Here is a 15,125-nt window from a genome sequence, read left to right as displayed (position 1 = left end):
CATTCTTTGAGTGGAAAAAAAGTGCTGTCAACAAAAACGTCAGCCCCATGAAGGCAGACAGATTCAACCAGAGTCATAGGCTGAATGCTGCCTATTCAAAAGGACAAAGTTCTTTCTCACGATCCTGAATCTGGCCACTGAAAACCCAATTTCTCTAGGACAAACATTCCCAGTAAGAAATTTTCAGCCCCCCTGCCGCAGCCCCTGCCGAGTAGCTGCAACTATAGGCGCGCCTGGCTAATTTTTATGTATTTTTTGTAAAGCCGGGGTTTCCTCATGTTGCCCAGGCTGATCTCGAACCCCTGGACTCAAGCAATCTGCCCACTTCGATTTCCCAAAGTGCTGGGACTACAGGCATGAGCCACTGTGCCTGGTTAACTTTAGAGAATTTTTAAAAACCCACAAATTCATTCTCAGAAAATAAAAACTTCAAAACTTTTTTTTTTTTCCTAGACATGGTCTCACTGTTACCCAGGCTGGAGTGTGGGAGTGTGGTGGCACAATCACAGCTCACTGCAGCCTTGACATCCCAGGCTCAAGTGATCTTCCTGCCTCCACCTCTTGAGTAGCTGGGACCACACGTGTGTGCTACCATGCCTGGCTAATTTTTAAAAATTATTTGTAGAGACAGGGTCTTGTGTTGCCCAGGCTGGTCTCAAACTCCTGGACTCAAGTGATCCTCCCGCCTCAGATTCCCAAAGTGTTGGGATTACAGGTGTGAGCCACCATGCCCCGTCTTCAACTCCTTTTTAAAAAAAGCAGTGAAATACATAAACGACCTCCACAGCAAAGCTCTCTGTGGAGTGCATGTTCCTGCCGCAGGGCCTCTGTGCTTGTGGTTCTCCCCAGCAGTTGCAGGTCTCACTCCCCGATTTCCTGCAGGTCTCTGCTCATATGTCCTCAGGGAGGCCTTCCCTGACCCCTCTCCTCTCTAGAATACCACCTGCATTCCCCTTCCCCTTCCCCGCCTCATTTTTCTTCAGAGGGTTACTGCTGCTTGGCGTGTTATTCACTGATGATGTTTCCAGGTTTCCTTTCCCATCCAAATGTGAGCTTGTTAAGGGCAGGGATTTTGTGTCTGTGTCCTCAGCACCTAGGACAGGGCCTGATGCATAGGAGGGAGTCAATGAGTATCTTCTGAAGGAATTACTGAATGGGTTCCCAAACTGTGGGGAACTGTGCAGAGGCCAAGCAGGGGCAAGGGGGTGGGGGGGGGGCTCACCTCCACGTTCCAAACGTAGGAGCTGTGGAAGAGCTCTGACCACACCTTGCCCACTCTGTTGATGTCCTTGACATCCCAGATGTAGATGCTGTGGTCCTTATACACGCAGGACAGCCACTGGTGGATGGGGTCGAAGGTCAGTGCCACTGTATCTGGGTAGACTGCTTCCGCCTTCCTGTGGAAGAGGAAGCTAACAAGGCCACATGGGTAATCAATCACCATCAATGTCACTGAGTAGTGACAGCCACCTCTAGTGACAGTGGAGATGCCTCCCCGGCAATGCCATCCCTCATGGTATTTGTGGCCATCCATCTCTCCTGCTCCAATTCTACTTTTCCCTCTTCCCTCTTCCTCTGCTTTGCTTTTCATATAGAGGCTACAAACCGGAAATTTTTGCCTGGCCCCGAGAGCAATTGAGTTTTTGATTCCTATGAACATTTATCGCCCATCATTTCACCCAACCCAAGCTCCTGCTCTCTCTCTGAGCATAGAAAGATAATAGGCATGTATCTCAGGTCCCACCTCTTCTTGGCCTCACCAACGCATGATCAAAAAGCCTCTGTGTCCTAAGGAGGCTGGGGAGCTGTCCCTTGGCCTGGGGTCTCCCTATGAAGGCTACAGTTTACTGAGCATTTACACTGTGCCAGGCCGAGAGTTTTACCTGCAATAAATTCTCACAACCACAATAAGAGCTAGGTACTGTATTTTACACATGAGAAAACGGAAGCACAGGGAGGTATAGTCACCTTCCCAAGGTCACAGAGCACAACAGAAGACAGCAGAGCTGTGAGCCCGACTACTACAACACAACACTGCCTGTGGGTTGCTCGCCCCCTCCTTTCCTTCATGACACCCAGTTCCCCTGTTCAGGCCCTGTCGTGGAAAAGGCACCCAGGAGCTAGCATCCAGAAATCCACAAAGAGGCAGCCCTAGGCACCTGGCACCCCCTGGTTAGGTAGCCCCCAATTCCATAAAACAGACTTGCAACAAAGGAGAAGAAAGCCACAGCCTAGTGCTTCTATCCACTCTCGACACAGCAGCTGAGGGACCTAACATGTAAGGCCTGGTCATTTACCCCAACGCCCGAAACCCCAGCAACTGCCCACTGACCTGAGGATAGACTACAGGCGCCCCACACTGGCCTCATCTCCCACCATCCTCCCCGGACACACTGGGCTCTGGCCACACAGTCCCTTACTATTCCTGCAACGTAACAAGCCCAGTGTGCTGTCACCTCAACTGCTGGGACCCAGCTCTCCACACAGCAGCTCCTTCTCACCAGGCACCCAATCAGCACAGCCCACCCCAGTCACTCTCCTTCCCGAGTCCCTGCTGTGTTCCCCAAAGCACTCATGCCTATTGAAATTATCTTTTTCGTGTACTTGCTTATCATCGAGCCCCCTTGCTATACTGCAGAGAGGCAGAGATTTTGCTGCTTCATTATAATAGGCATGTCCTGCTTCCAGCCCAGGGCTGGCACTTAGCAGCCACTTAGTAGGGGTCAGCCATGTGGATGGAAACACTCCGCCACATTCACACCTGCTCTGCACTGTTCTTCACCATGCTGACCGCTATCTGAAATGATATTATTCCTTTGTTTTCTCACTGTTTCTTCCCCCTACCCAGCCTCACTTCTCACTGTGAGGCTTGCCTCGGAAGGCAAGGACTTTTCTGCTTTGTAATGCCCAGGGCTGAGAGTCATGATGGGTATTTGTGGGATGGACAGACAGATAGATGGATCTGGAAGCATGGATGAATGCCAGTGGACAGACTCTGGGTGGGCCCCTCCCATTCCCTCTCCCCACAGGGCAGTACCTGGGCTCCAGGCCCTGTGCCACGTCTACCCCAAGGTAGTGTGGCTTGGGCAGGTTGGCGAGGTAGTGCAGGCTATGGGCCTGGAAGATGCGGACTATCCCATCTGTGCAGCCACAGAAGATGAGCTCCTGGCTGACACAGAGGCAGGAAGACAGGGAGACCTGTAGGGGCAAAAGGGACCCCAGTGGATTTGGTGCTTCACGTGGCCTGGCCCGGGGATATGGGGACTGACAGAGCAGCCTTAGGCCTCCAGAGAAGACTTACAGTTCCTTGGGTCTAAGACACCCATTTTAGCATATTTTAAGATTTGTGAAATCAGGATATAGCATACTGCTGCTATTGAAAGACATGTGCCAGCAGGTAGGCAGAGGCATGAACGGAAACAGAATTGTCACTGCTGTCTACAGAGAAACGTAGCTGTGTATGGAAAATACCTGTTCAGCAGACTGCAACTTCAGGTAAGTCACTTGTAGTAACAGGGTTGAATTTTAGGCTTAAATTTTTTTTTTTTTTTGAGATAGAGTTTTTTGTTGCGCCCAGGCTGGAGTGCAATGGCACAATCTCGGCTCACTGCAACTTCCACCTCCTGGGTTCAAGTGATTCTCCTGCCTCGGCCTCCAGAGTAGCTGGGATTATAGGCGGCCGCCACCACACCCAGATAATTTTTTGTATTTTGAGATGGGGTTTCACCATGTTGGTCAGGCTGGTCTTGAACTCCTGACCTCAGGTGATCCACCTGCCTTGGCCTCCCAAAGCATTGGGATTACAGATGTGAGCCATCGCGCCCAGCCTTTAGGCTTAAATTTTATTCCCTTTTGCTTACAAACAACTTCATAAAGACTGTACTCCAAAGCGGTACAGAAAAAAGTTACAGTATCTAGAAAGGACTGTCTATCCTACTAGGAAGTGCTAGACCTCTAGATACAGTTTAAGGAGTTTTTCCAAATCTACAGGGACTTAATTTATGAGTCATTTAGTGCTTAGGAAATAAACATCTATCTATTGAAAGCTTTTCACTTGCTTGAAAAAGAGAAAATGATGTTTAACCAACTAGGACAGAGATAAAACTTGGAACTCTTCCACAAGCCATTAACCTCGAAGGTGATCTCCAGAGTGAGTCACAAAGGCAGGCCAGGAACAGGAGAGGAAACCACAACGCTCGGGCGGATAGCCAAATGGGCAACTGATTCCAGATGGGAAAACAGCTTTGACTCAAACCTTCAGATACTAAAGGAAAGAAGCTCTGCAATGTATCGATAGATCATGCTTTAGTTTAAAAGTTTATGGCCGGGCGCAGTGGGAGGCCAAGACGGATGGATCACTAAAGGTCAGGAGTTCGAGACCAGCCAGGCCAACATGGTAAAACCCTGTCTCTACTAAAAATACAAAAATTAGCTGTGCGTGGTGGCAGGCACCTGTAATCCCAGCTACTTGGGAGGCTGAGGCAGGAGAATTGCTTGAACCTGGGAGGTGGAACTTGTAGTGAGCTGAGATTGCGCCACTGCACTCCAGCCTTGGCAACAAGTGAGACGCCATCTCAAAAAAAAAAAAAAAGTAAAAATAAATAAAAATAAATAAAAGTTTATGTATTTTGTGTAGTCTTTTTTGACTGAAAAGTTATTAAATCAATGGTACCTCCAATTTTTAAAAAATGCAATCCTCCTCTCCCTCTCCTTCTCCCCACGGTCTCCCTCTCCCTCTCCCCACGGTCTCCCTCTCCCTCTCTTTCCACGGTCTCCCTCTGATGCCGAGCCAAAGCTGGACTGTACTGCTGCCCTCTCGGCTCACTGCAACCTCCCTGCCTGATTCTCCTGCCTCAGCCTGCCGAGTGCCTGCGATTGCAGGCGCGCGCCGCCACGCCTGACTGGTTTTCGTATTTTTTTGGTCTCCACCAAACACAGGGTTTCGCTGTGTTGGCCGGGCTGGTCTCCAGCTCCTAACCGCGAGTGGTCCGCCAGCCTCGGCCTCCCGAGGTGCCGGGATTGCAGACGGAGTCTCGTTTACTCAGTGCTCAATGTTTCCCAGGCTGGAGTGCAGTGGCGCGATCTTGGCTAGCTACAACCTCCACCTCCCAGCCGCCTGCCTTGGCCTCCCAAAGTGCCGAGATTGCAGCCTCTGCCCGGCCGCCACCCCGTCTGGGAAGTGAGGAGCGTCTCTGCCTGGCCGCCCATCGTCTGGGATGTGAGGAGCCCCTCTGCTCGGCTGCCCAATCTGGGAAGTGAGGAGCGCCTCTTCCCGGCTGCCATTCCGTCTAGAAAGTGAGGAGCGTCTCTGCCCGGCCGCCCATCGTCTGAGATGCGGGGAGCGCCTCTGCCCCGCCACCCCGTCTGGGATGTGAGGAGCGCCTCTACCCGGCCGCGACCCTGTCTGGGAGGTGAGGAGCGTCTCTGCCTGGCCGTCCCATCTGAGAAGTGAGGAGCCCCTCCGCCCGGCAGCCGCCCCGTCTGAGAAGTGAGGAGCCCCTCCGCCCGGCAGCTGCCCCGTCTGGGAAGTGAGGAGCGTCTCCGCCCAGCAGCCGCCCCGTCCCGGAGGGAGGTGGGGGTCAGCCCCCGCCCGGCCAGCCGCCCAGTCCGGGAGGGAGGTGGGGGGAGTCAGCCCCCGCCCGGCCAGCCGCTCCGTCCGGGAGGGAGGTGGGGGGTTAGCCCCCGCCCGGCCAGCCGCCCCGTCCAGGAGGGAGGTGGGGGTCAGCCCCTGCCCAGCCAGCCGGCCCGTCAGGGAGGGAGGTGGGGGTCCGCCTCCGCCCTGCCGCCGCCCCGTCCGGGAGATGGGGGGTGCCTCTGCCCGGCCGCCCCTTCTGGGAAGTGAGGAGCCCCTCTGCCCGGCCACCACCCCGTCTGGGAGGTGTACCCAACAGCTCATTGAGAACGGGCCATGATGACGATGGCGGTTTTGTGGAATAGAAAAGGGGGAAAGGTGGGGAAAAGATAGAGAAATCAGATTGTTGCTGTGTCTGTGTAGAAAGAAGTAGACATGGGAGACTTCATTTTGTTCTGTACTAAGAAAAATTCTTCTGCCTTGGGATGCTGTTGATCTATGACCTTACCCCCAACCCTGTGCTCTCTGAAACATGTGCTGTGTCCATTCAGGGTTAAATGCATTAAGGGCGGTGCAAGATGTGCTTTGTTAAACAGATGCTTGAAGGCAGCAGACTCGTTAAGAGTCATCACCACTCCCTAATCTCAAGTACCCAGGGACACAAACACTGCGGAAGCCCGCAGGGTCCTCTGCCTAGGAAAACCAGAGACCTTTGTTCACTTGTTTGTCTGCTGACCTTCCCTCCACTATTGTCCTAAGACCCTGCCAAACCCCCTCTGGGAGAAACACCCAAGAATGATCAATAAAAAAAAATAAATTAATTAAAAAAAAATGCAATCCTCTACCAGCCAGAGTGCTCAAAGGAGAAAAGAAATGTGAAGTAGATCAAATAGTCATGGGAAAACAACTGTCACCTTGAGCCCATTTCAGGGTACCAAGCACCGTGCTCACTGCCTTGCCTATGTTATCTCACGTGACTTCCTTATCAGCTCTGCGGGGAGGGCAGCAGTACTCCCATTTTACAGATGTGGAACCTTAAGCTCAGAGAGTGGGCGTCATTCACCACTAGTCACATAAGCAGAACCTGTGTGGTCAATGCTGATGAGCACCCCTGCAGACACATATCACGAGAAAGAGTCTGTCCAGCTGATGGCAGAGAGGGAGGTGGTACCTTCAGGTTGATCCACTTCTCCAGCACCCTCTTCTCATTGAACTGGCAGAGGAGGCCCGAGTAGGACACACAGAAGGTACTGCCCGCCATCCGGCCCCGACCGCAGGCCACACCACAGAAGATGTTGTTGTGCAGCTCGCCCAGGATGCCCGAGCGCCCTACAAGGGGCACTGTGCTCGTCACCTGGAGACACAGAGGGCGTAGTGAGATACTTGTCCACACAGCTGGGCCCTGCATGACCAGATGATAGGACACAACAAAACAGGAGAACTCTAAGAAGCTCTTCCAAATGGAGAAGGGAAGAAAACACTAGAACCCTGCCACTCTGGACAGAGGGGCTGGACAGCAGCAGTCCAAGAATGAGAGCTGGTCCCAGGGTCAGGGGGTTCCTGGCAGGGCCTGTGCATCAGCACCCTGAGAGTAGGCCCAGAAGCAGCAGCTGGGCCCCTGAGAGGCCAAATGGCCCGAGACCGCTGCCCTCAAATCTCAGGGAGAAACAGGAGACCATGCTGCCACCGATGGTGACTCCCTCAGGGCCTGGCTAAAGGGGCAGGGACAGAAACTCACCTTTGTCTCAGTGGAGACTTCCAAGAACCAGAACCTCACATGGCGGTTCCCAACAGTGACAAAATAGCTGCTGTCCTCTGAGAAGGAGAGGGCAATGACTCTACAAGATACCTTGTTGGAGGCCACTACGATGTCTTTCTGGAAGAATAAGTGCAGAGAAGCTCATGCCAGCACTCATTCCACTGGACTGTTTGTGCCTTTGCCCTCAGGCTGGAACTCCCTGCTCGTCCCCACTCCAAGTCTGTCTTCCTGGGACCCTCCAGGGAGCTGCTGTATGGGGAAACCTATGTGGGGCACCCTGCTCATTCCTCACCGACAGAGGAAGGGACAGAGGCTTGGAATGGTCCCCATGGGACAGTATGTTCCAGAGCTCTCTCCAAGGGTCTAAGCTCTGCAGCCCACACATGGTATTGGGGACAGTCACGGCTGGGATGTAAGGACAACACAACCTATGGCTGTCACAGATGGGGCTCCTGCTCTGGGCCCTGCCCTGAGCCCTTCACAGGATAACCCATGAAATTTCCTCAATCCCTCAAAAGCCCCACGAGGGAGGCGCTTCTCCCCAACCCTACCAGGCTCAGAGGGGGAGATGTCATGTGCTCAAGGTCACATAGTGGGTTATGGGCAGAGCCAGGACTTGGTACCCACTTCTGCCAGCTCCACAGCTGTTCCAAAGCCCAGCCTTCCAGTGCTTATCAACTCATTAAAGTCTCACAACTCAACAAGATAAGTACTACTATATCCATCTAACAGAGGAGGAAACAGACTCACAGAGATGTTAAGTCACTTGCCTAAGGTCACAGCTGGTCAATATAAAAATATGTATAATGCTTCTAGCTGGGAGCCTGCCTTGTGCCCTACAATAAGGGATCAGCATGTCACAGGTGCTCAATAGCTGTTATCTGTTGGGTGAGTGAGCACTTTACTGCGTCCTCTCATGTAGCTCTCCCTGTGCCCAAGACATAGGATGCTGTGGCAGCTGGCTGCCTGCCACAGGCCTGCTGGTCGGCTCTTACCTTCCAGTCCCAGACGTTGAGCACCATGTCATGTTGGTAGCCCATGGACACGATGTGCTTCATATTGGGTGAGAAGGCCACACACGCCACACCATACTTGTGGCCTAGCATCTCCGCCACCTGATTCTTCTCCTCCACATCCCAGATGCGCACAGCAGGCCTATGCCCATTCTAGGGAAGGTGGGGTCGTTACTGCTGCTGGGCTCTGTACTGGGCAGGGCTAGAGGGTTGTCAAGGCCGAAGATGGCATTGCCACAGGATGTGCCCAAAAGCCACCTCCCCCATCTGCTACAGGGCTGTTCTGGCCCAGGAAGGAGCTATTCCAGGGACTCCCAGGCCTGCCGGGAGCAGAAGGAATGGCTTCCAAGACCCCCCAGCCCCCGACTCCCACTCAGTCACGATCACGACTCACCTCCCCTGTCACTATGTACTTCCCATCAGGGGAGAAGGCCAGAGCACTGAGAGACTTCCTGGGGATAAAGAAAAGAGCTGATCACTGGTTCCGCTGAGGGTGGCCAGCCAGACCCCATCCTGGCGACTCTGATAGGACTCTGCCCTCTTCTGCCTCCCAAGCCTCGGAAGAGGCCAGCAGAGGTGAGCTCAAGCAGCTCCCACAGAGCCAGTGCCGCTGGTGTGCCCAGCAAAGCACACAGAGAAATGGGGGTAAATGCAAAGGCCCCTTCCGCCCTGAGACACCAAACCCAAATGGAGTAGACACTGTATGCGGACCCTGCTTTCTTCTCCCTCTGCCGCAGTGGGTATCCTAAGACCCTATCCACCCTGTAACACTGAGAAATAGAGATGCAGGAAATGGTACAGGCCTGGCCTAACTAAACGGGTGGTGCTGATGGGAGGATCCTGGCAGGCATCACATCAAGGTAGCCTGCAGCCTGTGCTCCACTGCTAAATACTCAAGGTGTTCTGGAAAATCCATAAAGAGCCAAAATGTTTCTGATACTCCTAGCTAGCCTGCACAAGCACTGAATGAACAGGCTAGCTCGTAGGTTTCTGGCAGCAAGATTCACTGTTCCCAGATTGTATGGTTTCCTTCTACTCCCTTCTCTCTTTTAATCTTATTTTTACCTTTGTTCCTTAACAATCTAATAATTGTCTCCCTACGTGAGATGGTAAATTGGTGTGTAGATAACTAAGTAAATGTCGCTAAGTGAGACTTTGGCAACTTCATGGAATATTCATCATCAAGTCAACCTGCTTCCCAGGCTTCCCGTGGCTCCTTACTGCAACAAACAGGGCAAGCTGCCTCCTGGATATCCACTCGCCTCTCTTTCCTTACTGACATAACCCCAGTTTTATGCTTGCAACTATGCAGGTACAGCTACATGACTTAGTCTGGCCAAGGAGAAGTAAACTGACATGCTGTGTGGGACTTCCTGAAATACTCGTCAAAGGGAACCCTTTGCCCTGCTTCCTACCAGTTCCCCTCCTGAAATACGCACACGACAGCCAGAACTCCATCTTGGGCCATGAAGTGACTTCAAGACCAGAAGCCTCACAATAAATGGGGTGGAACAGGAGAGAAGGAATGGGGGCCGGGTGCGGTGCCTCACGCCTGTAATCCCAGCACTTTGGGAGGCAGAGGGGTGGGTGGTTCACTTGAGGTCAGGAATTCGCGAACAGCCTGGCCAACACGACAAAACCCCACCTCTACTAAAAATACAAAAAATAGCCAGGTGTGGTGGCAGGAGCCTGTAATCCCGGCTACTCGGGAGGCTGAGGCAGGAGAATTGCTTGAACCCGGGAGGCAGAGGTTGCAGCAAGCCAAGATCGTGCTGCTGCACTCCAGCCTGGGCAACAGACCAAGACTCCGTCTAGAGAAAAAAAGAAGTGGGGCTGGGCGCGGTGGCTCACGCCTGTAATCCCAGCACTTTGGGAGGCTGAGGTGGGCAGATCACAAGGTCAGGAGATCGAGACCACCCTGGCTAACACGGTGAAACCCTGTCTATACTAAAAATACAAAAACAAAATTAGCCAGGCGTGGTGGTGGGCGCCTGTAGTCCCAGCTACTTGGGAGGCTGAGGCAGGAGAATGGTGTGAACCCAGGAGGCGGAGCTTGCAGTGAGCCAAGATCGCGCCACTGCACTCCAGCCTGGGCAACAGAGTGAGACTCTGTCTCAAAAAGAGAGACAGAAAAAAAAAATGTGGCGTTCAGAGACACAGCCCCTGGGCTGCCCACCTCTGGACTTATGACATGCAGGAAGAGCATGCTCTTGGGTTTTAAGCCATGCTGTGGAGGGGTTTCTGTTGCCCGTAGCCACCTCTAACCTGTCGCATGCCCTGACCTTGTGCCTGGCCCTCTGGCAAATGCTGTCTGGCCATCAGTGCACTGATTCCTCAAGCATGCTTCATGGAGTCAGGGCTCTCATGAACCAACTTGGCAGATGAGGTGACTGCAACACAAGGAAGTCCCCTGCCTGCAGTTACCTAACCAGACAGGGCAGAGCCCTGACCTCTAAGCCAGTAGTTCTCAGTCCTGGCTGTACATTAGATTTCCCTGGGGAGCATCTGAAAAGTGTCAAAGCCTAAGATTAGTTGAGTGAAAGTTTGGTGAGGAACAAGATAATATTTGCACTGTCTCAGGAAAGATGTCCCCAGGATACCTGCTAATCACAAAGGTGAAAAGAGAGGCTTTGAAGTGGAGGAATCTGGCAGGCAACACCTTGGCCAAGTGCTCCCAGTGAACACCACCAGTCATAGGAGACCTCCTGAGAGGAGGCACCAGGAAGAACACAGCACCCCTTCTGGTCTGTTCCTGCCAAAGATGCAGAACCTGAGTCTGCCCGTGAGGAGGCATTGGACAAACCCAAATGCTGGGACACTCTACAAAATACCTCGTCTACAATCCTCAGTGTCAAGATTGGCCGGGTGCAGTGGCTCAAGCCTGTAATCCCAGCACTTTGGGAGGCCGAGGCGGGTGGATCACGAGGTCAGGAGTTCGTGACCAGCCTGACCAACATAGTGAAACCCCGTCTCTACTAAAAAAAAATACAAAAATTAGCCAGGCACGGTGGCGCATGCCTGTAGTCCCAGCTACTCAGGAGGCTGAGGCAGAGAATCGCTTGAACCCAGGAGGTGGAGGCTGCAGCGAGCCAAGATCGCCCCACTGCACTCCAGCCCGGGCGACAGTGTGAGACTTCGTCTCAAAAAACAAAAAAACAAAAAAAAGTGGCCAGGTGCTGTGGCTCACGCCTGTAATCCCAGCACTTTGGGAGGCCAAGGCGGGCGGATCACAAGGTCAGGAGATCGAGACCATCCTGGCCAACATGGGGAAACCCCAGCTCTACTAAAAATACAAAAATTAGCCGGACATGGTGGCATATGCCTGTAATCCTAGCTACTCGGGAGGCTGAGGCAGGAGAATCACTTGAACTGGGGAGTCAGGTTGCAGTGAGCCAGGATCCCACCACTGCACTCCAGCCTGACGACAGAGACTCCATCTCAAAAAGAAAAAAAAAAATGTCAAGATCCTGAAAGTCAAGAAAAGACAGAGGAGCCACGTCAGCCTGAAAGAGACTGAGGGGACAACTCAATGCAATGTGTGATTCTAGACAGAATCCTTTGGCCATAAAGGACATTCATGGGACAAAGGCTGACTCCTGAATGGTGCCCTCTGGGGAGTGGATGAGAGTGATATATCAATTTTCATTTCCTGATTTTGCTGGATGTATTACAGTTTAAAAAGATTGTCATTTTTTTTTGTAGGAAATACACACTGAAGTATTTATTTGATTAAGTTTTTTTTTTTTTTTTTTTTTTTTTTGAGACGGACTCTTGCTCTGTCACCCAGGCTGGAGTGCAGTGGCATGATCTTGGCTCACTGCAACCTCTGCCTCCCGGGTTCAAGCGATTCTCCTGCCTCAGCCTCCCGAGTAGCTGGGATTACAGGCGCCTGCCACCAGGCCTGGCTAATTTTTGTATTTTTAGTAGAGACAGGGTTTTGCCATGTTCCCCAGGCTGGTCTCAAACTCCTGACCTCAAATGATCTTCCTGCCTCCAAGGCCTCCCACAGTGCTGAGATTACAGGCGTGAATCACCATGCCTGGCGTGAAGTATTTAGAGATATAGGGGCATCATGTCTACAACTGATTCTCAAATAGTTCAGAACAAATTAATATGTATATAGACAAAAAATGATAAAGCAAATGTGGTAAAATGCTAACATTTGGCCAAGTGCAGTGGCTCGCACCTGTAATCCTAGCACTTTGGGAGGCTGAGGCAGGCAGACTGTCTAAGCTCAGGAGTTCAAGACCACCTTGGGCAACATGATGAACCCCGTCTCCACTAAAACACAAAAAACTAGCTGGGCATGGTGGCACATGCCTGTGGTCCCAGCCACCTGGGGGGCTGAGGCATGAGAATCACCTGAACCCGGGAGGTGGAAGTTGCAGTGAGCTGAGACTGTGCCACTGCACTCCAGCAGCCTGGGTGACAGAGCAAGACTCTGTGTCCAAAAAAAAAAAAGAAAAAAAAGCTAACATTTGTGAAATATGTGAAAGGTACATAGGTATATAGGAGCTCTTTGTACTATTCTAAGTCTGAAATTATTTCAATATAAAAAGTCTCAAAATTGCCAATGCCCAAGTTTCATCCCAGATCAACTGATTTGGCTTTCTCTTGCGTGGCGGTGGGGGGGCGGTGAGGCACAGGGACCAGGTGATTCTGATATGCAGTTGGAGTGAAAATCCCCACACTGGCCACACCACCTCCTAATGCACACCCACTGGTGGCCAAGGGCGGACACCTGCATACCATCTACTATAGATCCAGGCCACCCACTCCACTGCCTACAGGGATTAGGGAGGCAACACAGGTGTGAGGAACTGGCCACAACGGGCCTGACAAATTTCACTAAGCTCAGCCCCTCACTGCCACAGGGGAATTTGGGCCCCAGAGGCCAGAGAATTTCTCACTTCTCCAAACAAAAGGGACATTTGGATTTTTGTGTTAAAAAACTTGAAATGTTGTCCACTTATCCAACCTTTAAAACATACTATATTGGGCAAGTGTGTGTGACTCTGGTTTGTAGCTGCTGCCTTATGAATGCTCTCCCAGTTGGAGGCAGCTATTTTATTTTCAGAGGAGACCAAGGCTCTGAAAGAAGTGTCTCACCTGAGATTCCACAGTGAATAGACGCTTGAGCCAGGAATGGAACCCAGCTCTGCCCTTATCACCAGTAACAGAACCCACAGTTAGGAGCAAAAGGTCCAAAAAGCCACTTTCAAGAGGGAATGCACTTCTGTCAGATAACAAGAACCTGCCGTAGCTTAAGGACCGTACCTTAGGGACCATAAGGGCAGGAGAAAACCCACTCCTTATCCATCCACCTGGAGAACTGGGCCAAAGGAGCTGAGCCTGAGCTATGCCAAGGAGGGACATGGTGTGCCTTCCAAAGGTCACAGCCCTATTGGGACCACATCCCCAGGGTAGCAGTGATCAGTTAGCCCCAAGGCAGAGGAGCGGGTCCTTCCCCAGTAAACTTATAGCTGAAGGGATCTTTCTAAAACCCAAATCATGTTAAGTCTTTCTCTTAGAAAATAGCCATCAATATGCCAGATACTGCTCTTTGGTGCTAGGGACACAGAAATGAACTCAGAGAAAGTCCCTGCTCTCAAGAGTGCTCACACTGAGGGAGACCCACAGTGAATACCATCAATGAGGAAACTGGACAGCATATCAGAGATGGGAGCAAATTTTGTGGAGAAAAGCAAAGCAGGGAATAGAGCTGCTGGAGGGCTGGGGGTGAAAAGCACATTCCTGGCCTGTGGTGCCCTCCTGTGGCTGCTCTCTGCACTCAGCATGCTATGCAGACCCTCTACAAGGCTGCAAGGCCTACGGGATGTGGCTTCTGCCTGGTCCAGCCTCATCTTCCCTGCTCCTTTCTCCAGGCACCCAGATCCCTGGCTGCTTCTAAAGCGCCGGAGATTCTTAACCACTGCAGGGCCTTTGCCCTTCCTGTGCCCCCTGCCTGAAGCGCTCTCCCTACAGCTTCTTATGGGTCACCCTCTCGCTTCCTTCAGGTCTCAGAGTCAAGGCAGCGTTCCCTGAGCCTTCTGATAAGGCTTTCCTCCTATTCTCTGCCCACAAACCTGCCCGAAGACATCCTCCATCATTTCCTCCATAGCACTGATCATGATCAGCCCGTAATTTGCTGACTAGTTTACAGTCTGTCTCGCTCTAGCCAGCAGAGATTCTCGTCTCCTCTGGTCACTGCTGTGTCCCCAGCACACGGAACAGCACCCAGCACAGGCGAATGCTGCTGAGCCAACATGTAAGTGAATGAGTGAGCACCTACCCATGAGTATCTCCAGGCTGTGTAGGGGAGGGGAGGCGTGCCAAGCCCCTGGTTCCACCCCTGCCCCGGGCCCAGGCCTCAGCCTACCTGGCGGTGTTAAAGATGTGCTGCTGCTTGTTCTCCTTGGGGTCCAAAATCACCACCACACAGCTGGGAAGAAAGAGGAAAATGTGCCTCAACTGTGGGGAGTGTTGGGGTCCTGGGATGATTCTATTCCCACCAGAAAAGCCCACAAATAAACAAGCTCCCTCGGTTCTCTCTGGTCTCCTCCTCCTCCCCCTCCTCCAGGTGTTTACGCTGAGAATTCTAGGGCACTTTAACATTGCTATGTTCTTAAATAGAAACCAACACTTCCTCTGAGGTAATGTCTGTCAGGCCCTAGGCTAATTAAGACCTTAAGCTGGCTATAATCCCAGCACTTTGGGAGTATGGGGCAGGAGGGATCACTTGAGCTCAGGAGTTTTAGACCAGCCTGGGCGACAGAGTGAG

At 52.1% G+C, this 15,125-nt stretch overlaps 1 protein-coding gene across 20 annotated transcripts in view; it reads right to left on the bottom strand.

Annotated features, from left to right (window-relative positions):
* WDR62 (WD repeat domain 62) overlaps window positions 1–15,125 on the bottom strand; it is a 56,249-nt gene that overhangs the window by 36,392 nt on the left and 4,732 nt on the right. For 8 of the 20 annotated variants that reach the window (XR_001753671.2, XR_001753672.2, XM_017026665.2 and 5 more), the window contains exons 3-9: window positions 14,724–14,786; window positions 8,739–8,796; window positions 8,327–8,497; window positions 7,311–7,448; window positions 6,744–6,926; window positions 3,038–3,198; window positions 1,223–1,412 (exon numbers count right to left, since the gene is read on the bottom strand). Coding sequence is in view for 18 of the 20 variants with exons in the window: in XM_017026665.2 (XP_016882154.1) it covers window positions 1,223–1,412; window positions 3,038–3,198; window positions 6,744–6,926; window positions 7,311–7,448; window positions 8,327–8,497; window positions 8,739–8,796; window positions 14,724–14,786 (964 nt within the window). In the remaining 2 variants the exon portion in view is untranslated. Of the gene's footprint in view, window positions 1–1,222; window positions 1,413–3,037; window positions 3,199–6,743; window positions 6,927–7,310; window positions 7,449–8,326; window positions 8,498–8,738; window positions 8,797–14,723; window positions 14,787–15,125 lie in introns of those variants that run through there. The other 12 variants (NM_001411145.1, XM_047438657.1, XM_047438659.1 and 9 more) reach the window with 3 other exon arrangements.

Source organism: Homo sapiens, chromosome 19 (assembly GCF_000001405.40).
Source record: "Homo sapiens chromosome 19, GRCh38.p14 Primary Assembly".
Classification (NCBI taxonomy): Eukaryota; Metazoa; Chordata; class Mammalia; order Primates; family Hominidae; genus Homo; species Homo sapiens.
Note: the sequence above shows the minus strand (reverse complement) of the source record. Positions and strands in the feature narration are given on the sequence as shown.